Raw genomic sequence first — 19559 nt, 5'->3', positions numbered from 1 at the left:
CACATCTAGGTTATAAGTCATTACTCTTTACCTGTAAGTACATTTCTGCCAAGAGGCCTGAACACACAGGCTGGGAGGTAGATACTGGCTAGCTGTTTTGTTTTTTTACTTGTGCTTGTTTTATAGTAAATACTGTTTTACTTCCTTGATTTTATGTAACAAATTATACTTTCCAGACCTCTTTCAACTGTTATCACATTTCATCTTCTTAATAGCCTTGTGAACTAAACAATTATCATCTCCATCTGATATATGAAGAAATAAACTTCACATTCATTTACTGTGATGTTTGGAGAACCTGAGGATGAATATCTTTGAAAAAAATTCTTGGAGATCCCAACTTTTGATTTAAATTATTTTTATTATAGCATTACATAAAAATGCACAAATATGAAAGTAGCCATACATTTCTTATGGTTATGTTTATTATAGAACCATTAAAAATGCACTAATTAAATACAAACAAGACAACACCAACAATAACATTCAAGTTAACAACACTGATTTCATGTGTTAGGTGATGTTTTGCTGAAACTAAATTGCTAATATTGGGCTAAATGGTAGGCTGATGTATCTACATTTTTATAGCCCACTTGTCAATATGAATCCTTGGATTAGTCTGAGTCATTGTGTTTACCATAGTCACTATTCTTCCATTTTGACATGACCTCATTTTAAACTATGAATCCATGGTTGTGAAGGACCAATCAATTGAAAAGTATAAATCAAATGCCATGCTAAAATTTAAATATTTAATGAAAAAATCTTCATTGCATATTTGCCATAGTATTTACTGTTAATGAACCATTGGAGACTGGTACAAACCAAAACAGGATTCAGAACTATGGCTGTAGGGTGATGCCTCCATCCTTCCACCATGATGGTTAATTTTGTGTGTTAACTTGACTGGGCTAAGGGATGCCCAGATAGCTGGTAAAACATTATTCCTGGTGAGTCGGTGAGGGTATTTTGGGAAGAAATTAGCATTTGACTTGGTGAACAAAATAAAGCAGATGGCCCTCCACCATGCCTGGGCATTTTCCAATTATTTGAGGGCCTGAATAGAACAAAAAGGTGAAGAAGGGGCCAATTTGCTCTCTCTGCTTGAGCTGAGACATCCGTCTTTTGGACTCAGACAGGGACTTACACTATTACCATCCTCTTTCTCACCTCCTCGCCCCCTACTCTCAGGCCTTCTGACTGAGTTATGCCACCAGCTTTCCTGGTCTTCAGCTTGCAGTGGTAGATCACGGAGCTTCTTGGTCTCCATAATTGCATGAACCAATTTCTACATCTCTTCTTATATATGTCTCTCTCTATATATTCTATTGGTTCTGTTTTCCTGGATAACCTTGACTAAAACACCCACTATATTTCTCCATTTGAAGTACCTTCTGTTAGTAAAGTTTTCTGACACCCCCACCCTTCTATGTTTATGAAAATCTGTCCCTGTTAAGTTGGGAAACTTTTCATAATAATTGAGATTCCTAAGATGACTAAAATGTCCTGGTTTTAGGGAAAACCAAAGTGAGAAGCCTTCGTAGGATGTGCATTTGAGCTTCACAAGAGGCAGAACTCTCTCTAAATCGCTTGCTTTCTGATATGTTGTAAAGCTCTCAGCATAGATTGCTTGATACAAAATTTTAAATGTTCAAAGCTTGAGCAGATTTAGGACTCATCTAATCCAATTCATCTAATCCAAATCCCTTACTTTATATAAGGGGAAACCAAATCCCAGGGAAATTAAATAACTTGTGCAAGGAAAGGTCACACAGGCAGATATTGGTGGCATCAATAATTACCTCAACATCACAACCTCTCTGCTGCATCAGACAGCTTCCCTGCTTTCAAGTCTACTTATCCGCAGAGAAGCCATTCAAAACAGAGTCTGCTCACATCTCAAAGAAAAGGCTGGATTCAATTGCTCATCACAAATTCTTGAAAACTGATTTGTATTGCCTGTCTCTTTCCAGTTTTTAATTTTCTTAACCAATTTCATCTACGTTATCAAGAAATGTAGTCTTGAGTCATACTTAATGGAGATAGGGCTAATTAAGAGCAGAACTGTAGGCAACGAAAAATCTTATATGCCTGGTTGAATGAACATCCACTTTCTAAATCCCATGATAAAGACATACATTGAAGATGTGAACCAAACACAAACTGAAAATTGGAAGAATACAGAGCTGATAGTCAGGAGGTCTTCCCATCTTATTATTCACACAGTAAGTAGAGTAGGGATTGGCAAACTATGGCCTTCAGGCCAAATCCAGTGCTTGTGTTTGTTAATAAAGTTTTATTGGAACATGGCTGGGCAACATAGCAAGACCCTGTCTCTACAAGAAATAAAAAATTCTGTGCCCCATTTGCTTACCAAATGCCTATGGCTGCTTGCATGCTGGTAGAATTGGTTAGAACAAAGACCATATGGCCCCCAAAGTCTAAATTATTTACTATCTGACCTTTTCCAGAAAAAGTTTCTAGACCCTTGAACTTGATGTGTGTCATAATCTGGGGTTTGTGACTCCATTAGGATCTCTAGACATACTTTTGAAATTCTACCAGGGCGTTTAAATGTTGTGTTCCCATGTCTATGATAATCTGGAGGGAGAAAAAAACATAAGCCTGCTCCACATCACTTGAATGACTACCCTAGACCTAGTCATAGTGCCTTGCATTTTAATGTTTGCATTTAGATTTGATTTTATGGTCATGTTAGAAACATGAGAAGGTGGAAAGACCTCACAGCAGGCTGGACAAAGTCCCTTTAGGAGCATCCAAGTGTGTTAACCCCCTTGCCTATGACTTGGAGGCATCTGCCCTGGAGTCAGGTAAATTTAGCACCAGAGAAAAATACTCAGGCTTTCTCTACCCCCGGGAGACTCATCCTGGCACAGCCAAACCCACTGTCCTGCTCAAAGGGAAAAGAAGCTTAGTTGTTTTTGCTGCATGGGAGAATGAGGAGGGGTCCACAATAAACTTTGTGTGGGGTGCATTTTTCTTAGTTACTTCACCAATTAATGTCCAAGGAATTCATGAAGCAGTCAGTGGTTTTCCAAGGACCTAGGCTTTTGCTATAGGAAACCGGTGTTACTCCGTCTGGACAGAGTGATTGTACTACTCACTCCCAGATTAGAAATGTGCCTCTCACAGAGAAGTAGGAAGTTGGGTTTGATCATCCATTTAAAATGGTGTCCTTGAGGCATTTAGGCATCCTTGGGGGTCTATGATAATTAAGTCAGAGTCATGAAGAAAAATAGGGAGATAAAACCAGACAGACTTTTAAAAGTTCACAGCCTTTGAAAAATAAGACTGATTGGTTCAAGAGGGAACTTTTAGTCCCTCAAGTGAAGAAAGCAGAATTTCACTTATAAAGCTTGAAACCCATGGCAAGGCAATCAAAATACTGATTTCCCCAAAGTATAAAGGCTCATGTGATATTTCAAACCAAGTAACTGCTTAGAGGAACTCAATTTCAGTCTTGAGTAGTTAAGATTAAGTTCACATGACAAACTGGAACATTCCTTTTGGAGAGAATTATGTAGCAGGAGGCACTAAGACAATTCATAGCCCTAGACCCAGAATTCCATGCCTAGGAATTTTCTCTTTAGGAAATAATGCACAGAAAACAAAATATATAAGCCAAAATGATCACTGCTGCGTCATCTCTAAGACAAAAAATAAGAAAGCAATTTATGTCAAAAATATTAATCCTGGGGGAATATATAGTAAATTATATCAATCTTATAAAGCTATTAAGGCAAATAATTATAAAGAACATGTCAATATATGCTATAATTTAAGTGAAAATAATAGGAAGCAAAACAGTATGTTCACTATAATTGTAGGTATGTGCATTTTACATGCCAGAGGTAATATCAAAAAACAAAAATTGTTTAATTAGGTAGCATGATACTATGGGTGACATTTCAAATATTTTTTTGAATGATGTGTTCTTTCAATAAGGAATGAGGCATTTTCTAATTAAAAAGCCAAAAGCTCAGACAAGGCCAAACATTAAGAAAACATTTTTTTTTTTTTTGAGATGGAGCCTCGCTCTGTTGCCCAGCTGGAGTGCAATAGCACAATCTCGGCTCACTGCAACCTCCGCCTCCCAGGTTCAAGCGATTCTCCTGCCTCAGCCTCCTGAGTAGCTGGGATTACAGATTGCCACCATGCCCAACAAATTTTTGTATTTTTAATGGAGACGGGGTTTCACCATGTTGGCCAGGCTGGTCTCGAACTCCTGACCTCAGGTGATCCACCCACCTCGGCCTCCCAAAGTGCTGGGATTACAGGTGTGAGCCACCGCGCCTGGCCACATTGTATTTTTATTTTGGCATAGATGTGATATGTCAGGAGAAAGTAAATGTTACTCTATTCAAAACATTACAAAGATTCTGATCAAAAGAATCTAGCCACCAAAAATCATTCAGTTCCCCTGCTCATGAAAACTAATGATCACTGAGCACCGACTGTGTGGAAATTTCCTTTGGTCTTCAAACAGCTCTTTGTGGCAGGTGCAATGATTATCCCCATTTTTCAGATGAGGTAACAGGCATAAAAAGGAGAGGTAATTTGCCCACAATCACCCAGCTAATTAGTGGCAGATCTGGGATTTAGTCCAAGTCTGTCTGACTCCAGGACCACTGCAGCTGTTGACTTGGAAACCCTTCGGGACTTTATGCATACCAGAGACAGACTAGAAAACTCTTGGAATGAGTAGGTTCTTGGTAATCACACAGACCTGGGTTTGGATCCTGGCTTTTTGTATCAGCCAAGATGCTTTTGATGAAAATGAAAGAGAACCTGACTCATCCCAGCACAGATGCTTAGGAAATTTATTATCTCATAACACGAAGTCCAGAAGTTGGGCTAGCTGTGGGTTGGTGGGGTTGGCAGCTAAGTGGTGTCATCAAGGACGCTTGCCATCTTTCCCCCTTGCCTGTTTGCCATCCTCGGTGTTATTCTCCTCGGGAGCAGAATGCATTCACATTGTTGCTAGACCAGAAGAGAGAGATCTCTGACTGGGGAGCCCGCTCTCAGGAAAGGGAAACTTTCCCTGGGAGACTTCCAGCAGAAATATGTCCCAGGAATATTCTTGAACTCATTCTTGGCTGGGGATCATGTAGCCTGATTACTTTATATTAGCATGATGTGCATGAATGGCAGGGAGTCAACCACGATGCTCATTACACTCTGTTCTTAGTCACCTAACTTGTTTACATTTCCATTTCTTCATCTGTAAGGTGGCAGATTTGAGGATGCAGTGGGATAAGGGTTGGATGCGGCTGGCCAATGGGCAACATTCAGTAGTTATTAGTTGAGTATGTCAGTTAGTGGGGGAAGTGTGCTGGTTGTATAAGCCTGGGCTCTCTGGGGTGCAATCTTAGTCTGCTTAATACTTTTCACCAATCCTCACGCTTGCAGTGATAGAGTGACAACTTGGTAAAGAATGAAGTGCTAGTATTTCCCAAATTTTTAACTGTTCTTTTCTCCTTCTTCTTGTCCTGAACCTTTACTCCACTTCTTTATTGAATTTATAGAGTTGATAATAAAAATACATAAACCCAGAGTTTTAAGATGTTATAGAGCTCCATTATTAAAAAGTGAAAATTGGACTTCACTGAGAATTCACAATTTTCAAGATCCAAGCAAAATGTGGTAATTTCTGCTGTTTCCCACCCCTGCCAGGCTTTGTTACTTGTGTTCCTTTAAGGAGATTTCTGGTTTATTCTTTAATGCTAGAATTTATTTCTCTGTGTTATTATTCAATTCTTACATATACTAGGTGAAAAACAATGAGTTTTTACAAATTGTAGAATTCATGCACCTAAACAGTTGTGGTTCTTCCTGTAAAAACAGAAAGCATACATGTTATGGACTGAACGTTTGTGTCCCTGCCAAATTCATGTTGAAGCTTTAATTCCCAGTGTGGCTATATTTGGACACAGGGCCTCTAAGAAATTAATTAAGGTTAAATGAAGTTCTAGGGGTGGCACCCTGATCCGGTTGGATGTGTGTGCTTAGAGGAAGAGACACCAGAGAGCTTGCTCTCTCTCTTTTCCCCATGTGAGGACACAGTGAGAAGGCAGCAGTCTGCAAGCCAAGAAGGGAGCCCTCACCAGGACCTGACCATGCTAGCACCTTGATCTTGGACTTGTAGCCTCCTGAATTGTGAGAAAATACATTTCTGTTGTTTAAGCCACCCAGTCAATGGTATTTTGTAATGGCAGCCCAAGCTGAATAATATAATTCATTTTCTCAGTTAAGTGTTCCTGTATGACTGAGTCTCCCCTGGAACAGTATCAGACACTGCCTCTGACTATTTTGCATACTAATGTGTGGGCTGAGCTACTCTTACCCATTCTGTGTGTTCTCCCCATCTCTGGTGCACATGCATGTGACAGAATGTTATCTGGAGGTCAACTTTAGGATCTGTGAAAAACAAGAAAAAGAAAACTGGTTTGCAGTGCATGTTAGCATGAATACATGATTCCTTCCCTCCTTCTGTCCTTTCTGCCTCTCCCTTCTTTCCTACCTCCTAGTGTCACATGGATCAAACCACTGAATGTAACTTGTAGTTCCTGTCGAATCAATCAGTGAGGTCACAGAAATCATAGGCATGTTTTGTCATTTGAGTGAATGAGCCTTGGTCCCACATTGAAAACAAAGTACTAGTGCATCTTACCAGTGTATGTGGGTACAAAGACACCACTGATTTTGGCATCCCTGGTTGAATGTCAAGGGATACGGATAGGAAGTATAATGTGGTTACTTCTATAGCCAGTTCTTGCTTAATTCTCCAGGCTTTACCCGTTTGTTGCAACCCCAAAGCCCTGCAAATACATTACAAACTATAAAATATCAATGGATTAAAGGCAACGGGGTTCAACCTACAAGAATATGACAACAGGGTAATAAATTGTTTGTGTGCATTTTATTGTGAAAAAAATACATAATACTTAGAAATGTTTTAAAAGAAAACTACTACCTAGATTTCTTTCACCCAAGTACAATTGTCTTTGTTTTTTATGTTTCTGGACAGCTATGGCTGTATGTCTAAATTTTCAAATTGTTGTAATCATAACGCATATGTACTTCTGAATAGAAGTAGATTGGAAGCATTCTTGAACTTGACATTCTCAATTTCAATTATTTGCCTAGGACTTCAAAGATCACAGTGGTTTGTAATGTTGAGGGCTTTGATTTGGAAATGGCTAGATTTTAAAGCTGATGGGCTGGGTGTGGTGGCTCACACTTGTAATCCCAACACTTTGGGAGGCTGAGGGGGGCAGATCACGAGGTCAGGAGTTCAAGACCAGCCTGGCCAACATAGTGAAAATACAAAAAATTAGCTGGGCATGGTGGTGGGCACCTGTAATCACAGCTACTTGGGAGGCTGAGGCAGGAAAATCGCTTGAACCCGGGAGGCGGAGGTTGCAGTTAACTGAGATCGCACCATTGCACTCCAGCCTGAGCGAACGTGCGAGCCTCCGTCTCAAAACACACACACACAAAAAGCTGGTGTGCAAGAAAGTAAGAATCACACAGTCAGTAAACAAGCCCAGCCCACCATTGGTGGGACCAGCATTTCAACACAGCTTTTGTGCTTTCATATGAAGCTTGCAAAGAACTCTCATGACGTGATAAAGACGTTGTTTCTTTGCAGATTTAGGTAAATTTAGTTAAGTAGCCTAATGATGTAATATAATGCATTCTAGAATTTATTTTATTGGCAGAATTTATTTTTATAGCTTTATAAGCAAATCCTGAGTTTATAGACTCCTTAAGAGTCTTGAGGGGTTACTTAACATTTTTAGCTATTGCATTTTAAAGGGAAAATTGTATGCTACAATGGTTTCCACTTATTTGGGAATTTGCAGAGATATTAGGCTATACACCTTGTGAATATCAATAGTGTACTGTATTCTATCTTTTCACGTGACAGTTTACTTCTTATAAATATTTTCCCATGGTGTTACATAATCCCCATAAAGATCATATTAAATGGCTACACAATATTCCATTGATTTGTTGTATGATCATTTACCAAACCATTGTACTACCACTCTACATTTAAATTGTTTTCAGTTTAGCACTACTCAAGATAATGTTACAATGATAAACTTTTTGTCTCCTTTTGAAATATTTTCTAGGGATACATTCCTAGAGGTGGGTAAAAGAGGATGGACATTTTAAAAGAGGGTTGACTTTTGGTATATATTATTATATTGTTTTCCAAAAGATGTATGACCATTTACAATATGACCATCAATATATTAATACCAGTCGAGTGATGCAAAGTAGACAGCATTGCACATAATGACTAAGGTTTTCTGTTAGTTAAATGGGTATATAATGATTCAGTATTATTGCTTTACTTTCCAATGCTTTGACTTGTGCCTAAGTTGAACATTGTAAATTTATGTAGAATTTAAAGTTCTCTTTTAAATGATTGTTAAAGCAAACTAAATATAGACTGAGAATATATTCCATATTTGAGTCCTTGTGGACAGACTGCAACCAATTTAATAGGTAGACAAGATTGAAAACCTAACTTAGGAGTATGCACCTGTAACAATAGCTGAGTCTTGGCCAATCCTAGCAGCCATACTTCAACCACTCATACACTGCTGAGTGTTCAAACTGTGTTCAAGTAAGGCAAATGCAGAGTTGTAACCAATCCAACTGTTTCTGTATGTCACCTTTGATTTCTGTATGTCACTTCCCTTTTTTTGGTCTATAAATTTGTGTTCTGACTACGAGGCACCCCTGGAGTCTCTCTGAATTGGTTGTGATTCTGGGGGCTACCAGATTCATGAATCATTCATTGCTCAATTAAACTCCTTTAAATTTAATGCGGTTGAAGTTTTTCCTTTAACATGACGTATTTGTTCGTATCCTTTGCTGGACTTCTTTTAGAGGCTCATCCTGAGCTTTGGAGTCGAGGATTTGAATCCCAACTCTGCTATTTACTACCTGTGTGATCTTAAGCAAGTTAGTAAACTTTCCCAGTCTCTGTTTCCTCCTCTGGAAAGTGAGGATAGTCATGTGTCTCTCATAGAGTTGTTGAAGGATTCATCAGGATGGCACATGTGCAGAAGTACTGAGCACACACATTAAAATGACTCATTAGTTGTTAGTCACGCTACATGGGTTTGGTTTGTTGGTTGGTTTTTACCCCAGTCTGATCCCTCAGTGGCTTTCCTGTGCCTCTGGAGATAAACCCTTCTTGGCCTCTCAGTAGCCTGACCACCTCTCTTGTCTATGCTCATTCTGCCAAATCCACCCTTCACGGGAAGTGTCTCAAATATTTCTCTGCTTCAGAATTCTATCTATGCCTTCCTACCAGCAGTCCCTCTACTCATTGACCCCACCAAACTTCTTTATCTAGAAAACTCTGAATCACCCTTTAAAACATAGCCTCCAGAAGCTTCCCTGCTCCTCCAGCCTCCCTTTACTCCTCTCTCTTCCGTAGACCCATGTGTATCTCTCTATAGCATTTACTGAACTATACTACATTGTCAATTGACTTGTTATTTTCCTCAGATAGACTCTAAACCTCATGTGAGTAAAAACCATGTTTTATTTGATTTTACAGCCTCACTTGTAGCACAGGGCTTGCCATGTGGAAAGTGTTCAATAAATATTTGTTGAATGAATGAATCAGTACCTACATTACTCATCAGGCATGGATCCAAATGTCTCAAAGAGGAAAGAAAAGTCACTTTCACAGAGCAACCATTTGCCATCACTGGAATTGGTTGGATTTAGAGCAGCATAATGAGAGAAAGGGTTTCACTCAACAAGGGACAGCTGGAGATGTGTAAATTGTGGAACTACAAAATATCTATGTATGTGCTCTTAGTAACCTGCAATCACCAGTCATGGTTCTGAATGATGTTCTAAAACCTCTGAGACATTGCTGTAGGCTACCGTGTTCAACAGTGGGTGATGCATACACTGAGGGCAAACCACAAAGAGGAATCCCTAAATTATGATGGGCAGTGGTTGCATTGAAGGAAGTGATTAATCCCCCAAGATGAATATTTTCAAAGTGGCAACATCTATTTGGATGACTAAGTTCTGATTCAATTGTCTGAAAAATAAAAATTGATACATGCTTTGGCACATCTCTTAAGTGGTTAAAAAATACACACGTAAGGGGCATGGGTAGAGTCTAGCATGGGAAACCTTGGAATAAGCAAAACTAGAGTTAGATCTTGAAAGAAATGGGTAAGTGGGGAGTAAGCTTTTCTAACAAAAATAAGACATGAGGTGGGGAAAGAGTGAGGGGTCAGTTTCGGGTGAAGCAGAGGGGTAAGGGTGGAGTAGGATAGGGGGCTTACAGAGGTGCTAGAAGGCCACCTCAGGAATTCCTTGTTAGTGCAACTGTGCAGCTGAATGAGGGAAAGCCAGGGGCCTACTGCCTTCTAGGATGGGCTCCTAGAAGCAAAGCCTTGGATAGGATTTGGATGTGTGTGCTTTACTGAAGAGGTGTTCTCAGGAAATATCGACTAGGGAGTGAGAGGAGCAAGATAGAAGAGGGGAAGGAACTCAGCGAAGATCAGGTCTCAGGTGGAGATTAACCTCAGCTCTGTCCACTGGGGGGATTGGGTAGTCTCTTCATGAGCCCACTTCAGAATTGTGCCTGTCTTGAGGCCAGGGGGCTGGCCCTTTGTGCCATCACTGGCTGTTGGCCATCCTCAGAGGCAGAGTGCGGTTAACCTCCCCGCTGAGGTGCTCTGGTCAGCCAAGGGCAAACCTCCAGAAAAGGGGAGCAGCTGTGGGTAGAGAACAACCAAATTCTCAGCAGCCAGGAGATGGGAGCCCCACAGGGCAGAGAGGGGATCTGGATGAGGCCCAAACATCTCTATCTACATTCATGGTCACAGCTGATGAATTATTTTCTTCCCATTGCACATGGCTGCATCCCTGCCCCTTTTTAGGACTTTACTCAAATGTCTCCGTAAAGCTGTCTGTGGACTTACCAGTATGGAGGAGTGATCTCTTTCTTTAGATGTCCTAAGATGCTTCATCCATCCATACGTCACCTGCTAGATGGTCAGCTCCCCAGTATCAGGTCCTGTGTCTCATTCAGTTTTGTTGATCCCAGCACGGTGGCCAGCACATGGGCAGCGGGTGGTGGGGGGAGGTTCAGGATAAATGTGGTTAGAATGACAGAATGATGCTGTAGCCCCAAACAGGAAAGACTTCGGCTGTAAATCCATTTTTTTCTAGGTTGGGTCCTAAATGCTCTTGGTTTATTATCAGAACATAGCTCTGCTAAGTCCTTTATAATCTTGCTTTTCCCCCTTGAGCATTAATATAATCTTTTTTCTATCCCTTTGCCTGTGTACTACTAGTACAGCTTGCACAGTCGTGAAATTATAGCAATTCTGGAACGGCAACTTCGGGTGTTTTGTAGGATGCTTTCAGAAGACTAGCTTTTGAGCTACCCAGTGTTCAATCTCGCAGATGAATGTTGGGCCTATGAATTTCGTATTGAAGTGATGTATTTGACATGCCCATGAATACATGCGTCTGCCACACTGTGGCCTGCAGCCAGGCTGCAATGCTGAGCCTGCCTTCTGGATCCTCTTTTGAGAAGTCCCTGTAGAAAGCCTGCTAATTGCTTACCAGCAGTGGAGCAAGATGCCTTGGAAATTGCCCCATTGAACCTTCTTTTGCCCTTCAAAATGTCCTGGTGTTGCCTCTGTACTTCACATACTGAAGAAGGACCATGTAGAGGTCATGTAGGGCTTCCCAAGGCAGCATGGAGCCAGTCACCGTGGCCTGCAAGCTTCAGCTTGCTGAGTGTTTGGTCTCAAGGTGGAGAGTGGTGGGGGTTGGCAAGGAGCCTGTATTCTGGCAGAAGGACAGCATTTTCTGTACATGTTCTTTTGGAAGAACATTCAGGATGGTATGTGTTTCATCACACTATGCAACCTGATATATCCTGGGCAGGCTGGATTCATTATTTACCTTGTATAGTTTAATCAAACCGAATCTCCTTAAAAATGTTATTGGCAGAGGTGGGGAGTAGGTATTCCATGAAGCCTCTGCTGCCAAGTGTTAGAGTGCTTGACTTTTCATAATCCACACCGTCTGAAGGCCAAACATGTCATCTATTCAACTTAAGGGAAATTAAGTGATTCAGAAAAAACAGTGAATTCTGATTTCTTTTCTAGATTGAGGATCTGTATGTGGTCAGGTTTTTTTTTTTTTTTTTTTTTTTTCTTGAACAAAGCTACTTGCTGGCCAGAGAGAGGCAAATAAATAAGTCACTTACCACAGGCAACCAGGGTGCCCATTTGGGACTGGGTGATGTTCGTCGTGATGGGACTAATTAACTCTGGAAATGCTGAACAGGTCATGGTTAAGACCCTTTTGAAATGATTGGTGCCAGGCTTTTCCTGGGCATTAGTCCCTGTCCTCCCCAGATCCCTCACTCCAGCTACTGCAGGATGCAATTGACCAATGGCCAGAGAGACACAGCTGACGCCACGCTGAAGTGCTGAAAGCAGACAGCGCTGTCATTCATCTCTCTTCTGCTCCCGGGGCAAGGGGTGGTGACAGCTTCTTGTTCTTCTCAGGTGCCACCAACCCCCTTTTGATCTTCAGTCTGGTTAAACTAAAAAAATGTTTTAAATGACTCCATCTACTGAGAATTTCAATGTTGGCTCTATTACATTCCTTAATTTACGCTTGTTAATTTTGTCTGACTTGGCTTGCTTAGATTCCTTTGGACATATGATCCTTATGAATAAAACATTCAAGGGCCAAATGTTTGAGTGGGACATCTTGACGTGAATATTCCTGGAGAGTGGCAGAAAGCGTGGATCAGGGCAGGTGCCTCTGTCCCAGAGTGAGACCTAGAAACAGCTGTGGTGTGCTGGAAGGAATCCTCAAACCTGGAGTCTGACGATGTTTAAAGGCTGATTCTGCCACTAATGAGCTACTTGATCAGGCGGATTGCTTCCCCTCAGTTTCTTTAGGAGACGGTGTGCTGTGTAGTACTAGCACTCTCATTTTGCTGTCTCTGGGGGAAGATTATGCATCCTTGTCGCATTGTACTAGGTGTGGCCATGTGATTTCTGGCACCCCTCCCTCCTGCTGGCGAAGGACTATATATCCCTGCCCTATTGACGTCAGGCTTGGCTGTGAGATTTACTTTGGCTGGCAAAAGTGAGTATGAGGAATTGTGCCACTATTGTATAGATGCTTTAAGAGACATTGTGGTTCTGCTATCTCCATTTCTCTCTGTTACTGAGTCCTGGAGCAAAGAAGGCATGGACAAGGGCTGTAGCTGACCCATCATACATGTGTGACATGAGTGAGAAACAAACCTTTGTTGAGGCAAATGCTTAGATTTTTGGGGTTGTACATTGTTGTAGCATCGCTTAGTTTAAACACATTAATGCAACAGGGAATAATGTGATCTACTTGGTGGGCTTTTTATGAGAACTATTTGAGAGAATTAACCAAAAAATGCATTGCTTGCCTATGAGGTCCCAGGTACTGTATTCAAGGTATAAGGGCCACAAAATTGTGTAAGGCATGGGTCATGTCCTTCAAAGAGCTCATAGGAGAAGAGACAGAGATTTCTAAAAGTTATGTCAGTAACATTGTATAGTAGACCTATGCTTTTTGCAAGGCATTCAGACTGGGCCGTCACACATTCTCAAATTAAGGAAAACCTCTTAACATTTGACATCCCCCAGAAAATGCTGAAAGAACAGTGAGTAGAAAACAAAAAAGGCATGATGATGTGGATGCTGGGCAGATGGATGGGACCCCTCAGGAATTGAGTAGCTCACTCATTAAACCTAAGCCTTACAGATCAAAATACTTTATCAAACCCTCATGGAAATATTTTAAGCACGTGGTTGCTTGCAAGAAGTCAAAACCATAAATGTAAATGATCTAAGAACGAAGAGTATGTGGTATTTAACCTGGCAGTACATGACATGCAGTATAGTTTATTGCTTGATAAATGGCTGGTCTAAAATTAGAGAATTGGGCTAAAGTTAGAGAATAAAATTCAAGGAGATCCACGATGTTCTTGTTCTAATCAGAGGTTGTTCAGTTATCCAAAAGAGAAACCCACTCAAAGCAGTTCAGTTTAGAACTGGGGAGTGGAAGGATAAAGGGGAATCTTGTGCACTGGAAAGGCTCCCAGTCTCTGGTACCCCTGTCTGTCTCTCATCTCCATTTCTCACTGAGAATGTCCCATGTTCCTCTCTTGAAGCTAGCTTTCCCAGCAACCCTGCAGCCTCCTCACTCAGTCTTGCCTCCTTCTGCCTTGCTGCTGTGGCTGTGCTGACCTGGCCCCTGTCTATGTGATGATGATGGTTAATTTTATGTGTCAACTTGACTGAGCCATGGGGTACCCAGAGAGTTGGTCAACATTATTCTGTAGGTGTCTGTGAGGGTGTTTCTGGAAGAGAGGAACATGTGAATGTGCAGGCTGGGTGAAGAAGATGGTCCTTCCTAACGCGGGTGGGCCTCATCCCATCAGTTGAAGCTCTGCATAGAACAAACAGGCTGACCCTCCCCTGAGGAAGAGAGACTTCCCCTAGCCTGTCAGCCATTGCCTTTTTTCCTGCCTTTGGATTTCGGGTAGGTCTCTCCTGGGTCTCCAGCTTGCCACCTGCAGATCTTGGGACTTGGTAGCCAACCTCCATAAGCATGTGAATCAATTCTTAATAAAAAATTTCTCTCTCTCTCTCTCTCTCCCCCTCCCACACACACATGATGCATATTTATATCATATATATATATACACAATGAACTACATCCTATTGACTGTGTTCCTCGGAGGAGCTTTTACTAATACAGCCGTTGCATGGATTCAGGCTCACAGATTCCTTGGCTGTACTCTCTAAGTCTCAGTAGAATTCCTGTGGAAGAGTGACTCTGATTTTCTCTCAGCCGGGTGACTGTGGCCCCATCAGCCCTGGAGGGGCATCATGTGGCCTCTGGGAGCCACCCCACTCAGATTAGGGACAGGGCAGGTTCTTGAAGGTATTATGGGTGGAGAACAAATGAGTCACATTCTCTCACAGATTTCCTTTCCAGTTAATAGAACTAACTTCACTTTTATAGACTTGAGAAGAGATTTTTGCACTCTTTATGAGGCCACCATGGGGCTTATATATCTGAGTGTTTCATTTCCCAAAAGGCTGGTACAATAAATGGCTCCCTTCTGACCTTCACTTGCTTTCCAATTAAAAAAAAAAAAAAACAGGAATAGCAACACTTTGAGCTTATTCTTGCAAATGTCCTTTGATGCAGTTTAGGAACAATACTATTGTTCCACCATTGCCCTCCTAGAGCACTGGGCCCGGAATCACCGGGGCCAGGAACCACTAGTTCATTATGGGCTCTTCTCTCTACCAGATATGTGACATGGGGCCTCAGTTTTCTCCTCTGTAAGAGGGGGTTAGCACTCACTGCTGGAGATACAACGAGTGTTGTACAAAGCCTGCTGACAATTTCATTCCATTTAAATGTTAAGATTGTTCAAGAATTCCAGGATATCTTAGCTAGAAGCTACGTTCATTGTAAAGATAATGAAACTGAGACTCAAAGAGACAGTATTATTGATGCGGACATAAACAATGATTCTCACAATTCTCTGGTTTGTTCTGCTCTGACCCTTTCACCTTCCACAAGGCGGTTTGTTTTCTTAGCTGGGAGGGTCAGGGATCCCAGGCTGCCTCACTTCTTTTCTTTTCTCTTTTTCTCTTTTTTTTCTTTTCTTTTCTTCTCTTTTCTTTTTCTTTTCTCTTTTCTTTTTTCCTTCCTTCCTTCCTTCTTTCCTTCTTTCTTTCTTTCTTTCTTTCTTTCTTTCTTTCTTTCTTTCTGTCTTTCTTTCTCTTCCTTTCTTTCTTTCTTTCTCTTCCTTTCTTCCTTTCTTTCTCTTTTTTTTTGTGTGTGTATGAGTGCAGCTGAAGCTAGCAGGTCTCTTCCTCCTTTTAAGGACTTTCTTCCTTTCCCTGGGGCCACTCATTGGACCCCCTCTGAGGTTAGGTGTGCGATCTTCCTCCTTTATAAGGAATCCAGGGCAGCAAGCTGCTCTTCTCAGGGCAGACTTGCCTACGGCAGGCAGGGCTTAGACTCCTATGACAGGAAGAGTCAAAAGCTGTAGATCTGAGTGAGGCTTCAGTCTGTGGCAGGGAAAAGGCACACCACACAGGCGTGCCAGCCCTGTGGCCAGGTTTTTCGGGATGTACGGTTTGGCAGAGCCGAGCCTGGGGTGCCCAGAAAACAGCTTTTGATGTAACGCCATAGAGGTTTTTGAACTCGGCCTGCAATGCCTTTAATCTCTCTTGGCTCCGATTTCCCAGGTTAATTTCCTGACATCTAAGGAGCTTTGTTTAGCGTGTGTAGCTTCCTGCCTTTTATGTCAGAGCCTGCGAACTGACGGAATCGTGGAGTGAGCCAAGAAACTGGGGGTGGGGGCAAGCCTTGGAGGCTCTCTTCCTTCTTTATTTTCCTTAGTCGCACACTCACCCTTAGTCACTTTTTTCCTTGGATATTAGCACAATAGAAGCCTCCTTATGTAAGATGTAAAAGCAGGGAGGGAGGGACCTGGGAGGGCTTGGTGAAAGAGCCTGGTCATTGTGTGAGTGAAGTCCTGGGGGAGGTTTTACTCTGGTTTTGCTATTTTGCAGTGATATCTAATTAATGCCTTTGGGGAGCAGTCACTGAGGGCCAGGGCCCTGTGTCCCCCCATCCCAGTTCTCTCCACTCTCTTTTCTCTGCCATTCAAAGACCCTGGCAACCCCAGACTGATGGAGAGAGACAGAGTGAGTGATTACCCCCACTCCGTTGCCTGGCGTGTGCTAACTCCTCTCTTTCCCCTCTCACCTCCATCTTCTCAAAGGGTGGCCTCCTCACCAGTTCCTCATTTACATTCTCTTTATTTGCTTGACATTACCATTCTATCAGAATTTGCTCAGCTGCTTGTTTATCCTTTGTGTGGGTGAGTTCCAGCGTTTCTGGCCGCTTCTGGACAGCTGGCCTGTGCCTCTTTGACTTAGTGCATAGGCACTGAGCAGGCACCTGAGTAAGTGTTTTAAATTGTGGCAGATGTTGCAACACTTACCTCTTTCCAGGGGCTGTGGTGAGGCTCAATTAACATTTCAGACACCCACACTGCAAGTGCAAAGTAGTTAAGTTTGAGAACTCAAATGTAAAGAAAACAAACCGATCTCTTACTCAGTAGCGGCCGAATTCATTAGCTGGGGAGATGTAGGGAAGCCCTCCTGCCACTTAGGAATTATTTAGAGAATATTAGATGAGAAGGGACATCAGAGAGCATCTCCTATAAGCCCACTATTCCTGGGTCCATGTTGGCCATTTTGCTCTTTGTTTTTATAGCCATTGAGTCCTCAGTGCCCAGGGCAGTCCTTGCCATTCAGCAGGGGCTCAGAATTGATTGTTGAGTGAATAACTGTGACTACTCACACCCTGGCATCTCACAGAGGAGCACAGATCTACTGAAGTTAGATGGGATTAGGAAGATTACAGCCTGTCTCCTGCCTCCGAAGGGAGTGACTTTCCACTTAATTGACTTGTTTGTTTTGGTTGTCTAGTGTGGATCCCTGACTGCTTCAAAGGCACTCAAGCTCAGTCTGAGGGCCTTTAGGAAGCATCTCAGAACTCCCCCACTTGCTGAGGAAAGCCCAGGTGGGCACCAGCAGGACACCTGAGGCCATCTTTGTGGCAATTAAGAAGACTTGTTGAGATTGGAGGTGCGAGTGGGGGTGAGTCTCCCTCAGGCTTGGCTGGGTCTGACAATCCGAGTATGCCGTGATATTGATAGCGACAGGAGGCAGCCAAATGCCTAGGTAGATAGGGGCAGGTCCCTGGTGAAACCTCACCTCCAAGCTGAAGAGTTTAAAGCCTGAAAGTCAAGTTGCAAGTTAAATCCTTGGGCTGGATTGAGAATTTATATTTGGCGTGCTTTCCTCTGATTGGTCCTCGCACTTCACCTATTTTACATATACCTACTCTTTCCTAATTGGTTTTCTATACTGTTGGGCCCACCTTTGAGTGATGTCTTTGCTTTAATCTTTTTTGCATACTCACAAACCAATCAGCACACACTCCCCATTCTGAGTCCATAAAACCCTATGGACATAAAAGACACCAGCCCAGCCACATGGGGAATGTTCCTGCCTTTGGGTAGGGGGAACAACCCCGTGTCCTCTCTCTGCTGAAAGCCGTTTTCATCACTCAATAAAATTATTCTCTGCCCTCCTCACCCTTCAATGTCCAGTGTATCTTCATTCCTCCTGGGTGTGGTACAAGAGCTTGGGAATCACCGAATGTGGGTACAAGGTATAACCCAGGTGAGCTGGGGAACGCCAGCATGGCTGAGTGAGGCCCGGGGCTGGCAAAGTGACCAAGAAGAAAAATCCTACATCAATATTTGGCCAGAGACAAGTGCTCCTGAAGGCAATGCTGTTTGCGATAGCATCCCCCTGAGGGTTGTCTTCAGAGAAGTTGTTAAGGGGGCACACAACCACACAAATGTGCAGGGCTGGCTTCGGTGGAGCCCAGGGTATTTTTCACTTGAAAGTCTACCCTTCTAGCAGTTAAAAACAAACAATGAAATTCTTAGAAACAAAACCACTGTGAACAAGAGATTGTCTTGGTTCAGGAATTCCCACAGCCTCTGTAACTCTTGGCCTCTCTGTTTTTCTGCCTCTGTTTCTTTGTTTCTGCCACTTTGCCTTTCTGTTTGACTGTTTTTGACACACATATATGCACATGCATGCACATGTACACACACACACACACACAACGCAGTTAATTCTTTCCCCCAACTTTCATTATCAGCAGCCGTGTACCTTCTGCTCTGCAGCACAGACAAATCTTGGGTAAATGGGGAGGATACCAAGCATTAAAGTTAAGCTGACTTGTATTCCAAAGGACTGATTTGAAATTGTCCAGAGCCTCAGGAGGAATTGCCAAGGACATTCAGAGAGGCCATTTGGATCCCCAGGGGGATGATGCAGCAGGTGCAGAGGGGACAGTGGTGTCACTGGCGAGGAGCCCAGGAATGATCATCAGGGACCACTGGAGTCACATGGGAATGAGCCCTAACATAGGTCCCTGCTGCTTCTTGGCAGGCCCATCTCCTTTCCTGCCGCTGGCCATTTGGTGACCTCCCAGAGGCTGTGGAGTCAGACAGGCTTGGACTGCAAACTCCAGCTCCGGCCCAAGTTAGGGGCTAAAGCCAAAATAGCAAGGGAATGCAAAAAAAAGGTAGCTAATGGGAGGTTTTCCCTGCTTCTAGGCCATGCCTATGGAAAAATGCCAGTGATGGGAGTCCAATTCTAGAAACTTCTTGAGCAAGACACTTTATAGTCCTGAAGTTAGGCTTTCCTATGCTTGTTTATGGTACTGAGGCAAGGCAATGCCATGATTTCTAATTCAACTCTTTTTTTTGTTCATTCCTTCCTATTTCCTCTACCACCTAGCTACCTCCCCAGGGTGTTCATAGGAATAAAGAGAGTATGTGGAATTGCTGTGAGCTCCTT

General features: G+C 42.5%; 1 long non-coding RNA gene across 1 annotated transcript, besides 4 other annotated features; it reads right to left on the bottom strand.

Moving 5' to 3' along the window:
- Nucleotides 1-4817: 4817 nt before the first annotated feature.
- LOC107984552 (uncharacterized) lies at nt 4818-11844 on the bottom strand. The gene is made up of 3 exons (XR_001749973.2): nt 10995-11844; nt 6365-6438; nt 4818-5853 (listed from the first exon to the last, which is right to left on the bottom strand). It is a non-coding gene; the product is annotated as an uncharacterized LOC107984552 (long non-coding RNA).
- Nucleotides 9919-11118: an enhancer, noted in NCBI's record as "CDK7 strongly-dependent group 2 enhancer chr13:44886104-44887303 (GRCh37/hg19 assembly coordinates)". NCBI's record gives its function as "activates an origin of replication core promoter dependent on BRD2, BRD4, P300/CBP, MED14 and CDK7 cofactors, with strong dependence on CDK7, by STARR-seq in HCT116 cells {active_cell/tissue: HCT116}" and the evidence as "EXISTENCE:reporter gene assay evidence [ECO:0000049][PMID:35650434]".
- Nucleotides 15764-16387: an enhancer, noted in NCBI's record as "NANOG-H3K27ac hESC enhancer chr13:44880835-44881458 (GRCh37/hg19 assembly coordinates)". NCBI's record gives its function as "activates a minimal SCP1, AML or CMV promoter by ChIP-STARR-seq in naive H9 embryonic stem cells {active_cell/tissue: H9 hESC(naive)}" and the evidence as "EXISTENCE:reporter gene assay evidence [ECO:0000049][PMID:30033119]".
- Nucleotides 15764-17162: a biological region, named in NCBI's record as "MED14-independent group 3 enhancer GRCh37_chr13:44880060-44881259".
- Nucleotides 15963-17162: an enhancer, noted in NCBI's record as "MED14-independent group 3 enhancer chr13:44880060-44881259 (GRCh37/hg19 assembly coordinates)". NCBI's record gives its function as "activates an origin of replication core promoter dependent on BRD2, BRD4, P300/CBP and CDK7 cofactors, and independent of MED14, by STARR-seq in HCT116 cells {active_cell/tissue: HCT116}" and the evidence as "EXISTENCE:reporter gene assay evidence [ECO:0000049][PMID:35650434]".

Source organism: Homo sapiens, chromosome 13 (genome assembly GCF_000001405.40).
Source record: "Homo sapiens chromosome 13, GRCh38.p14 Primary Assembly".
In the NCBI taxonomy this organism is placed as follows: domain Eukaryota; kingdom Metazoa; phylum Chordata; class Mammalia; order Primates; family Hominidae; genus Homo; species Homo sapiens.
Note: the sequence above shows the minus strand (reverse complement) of the source record. Positions and strands in the feature narration are given on the sequence as shown.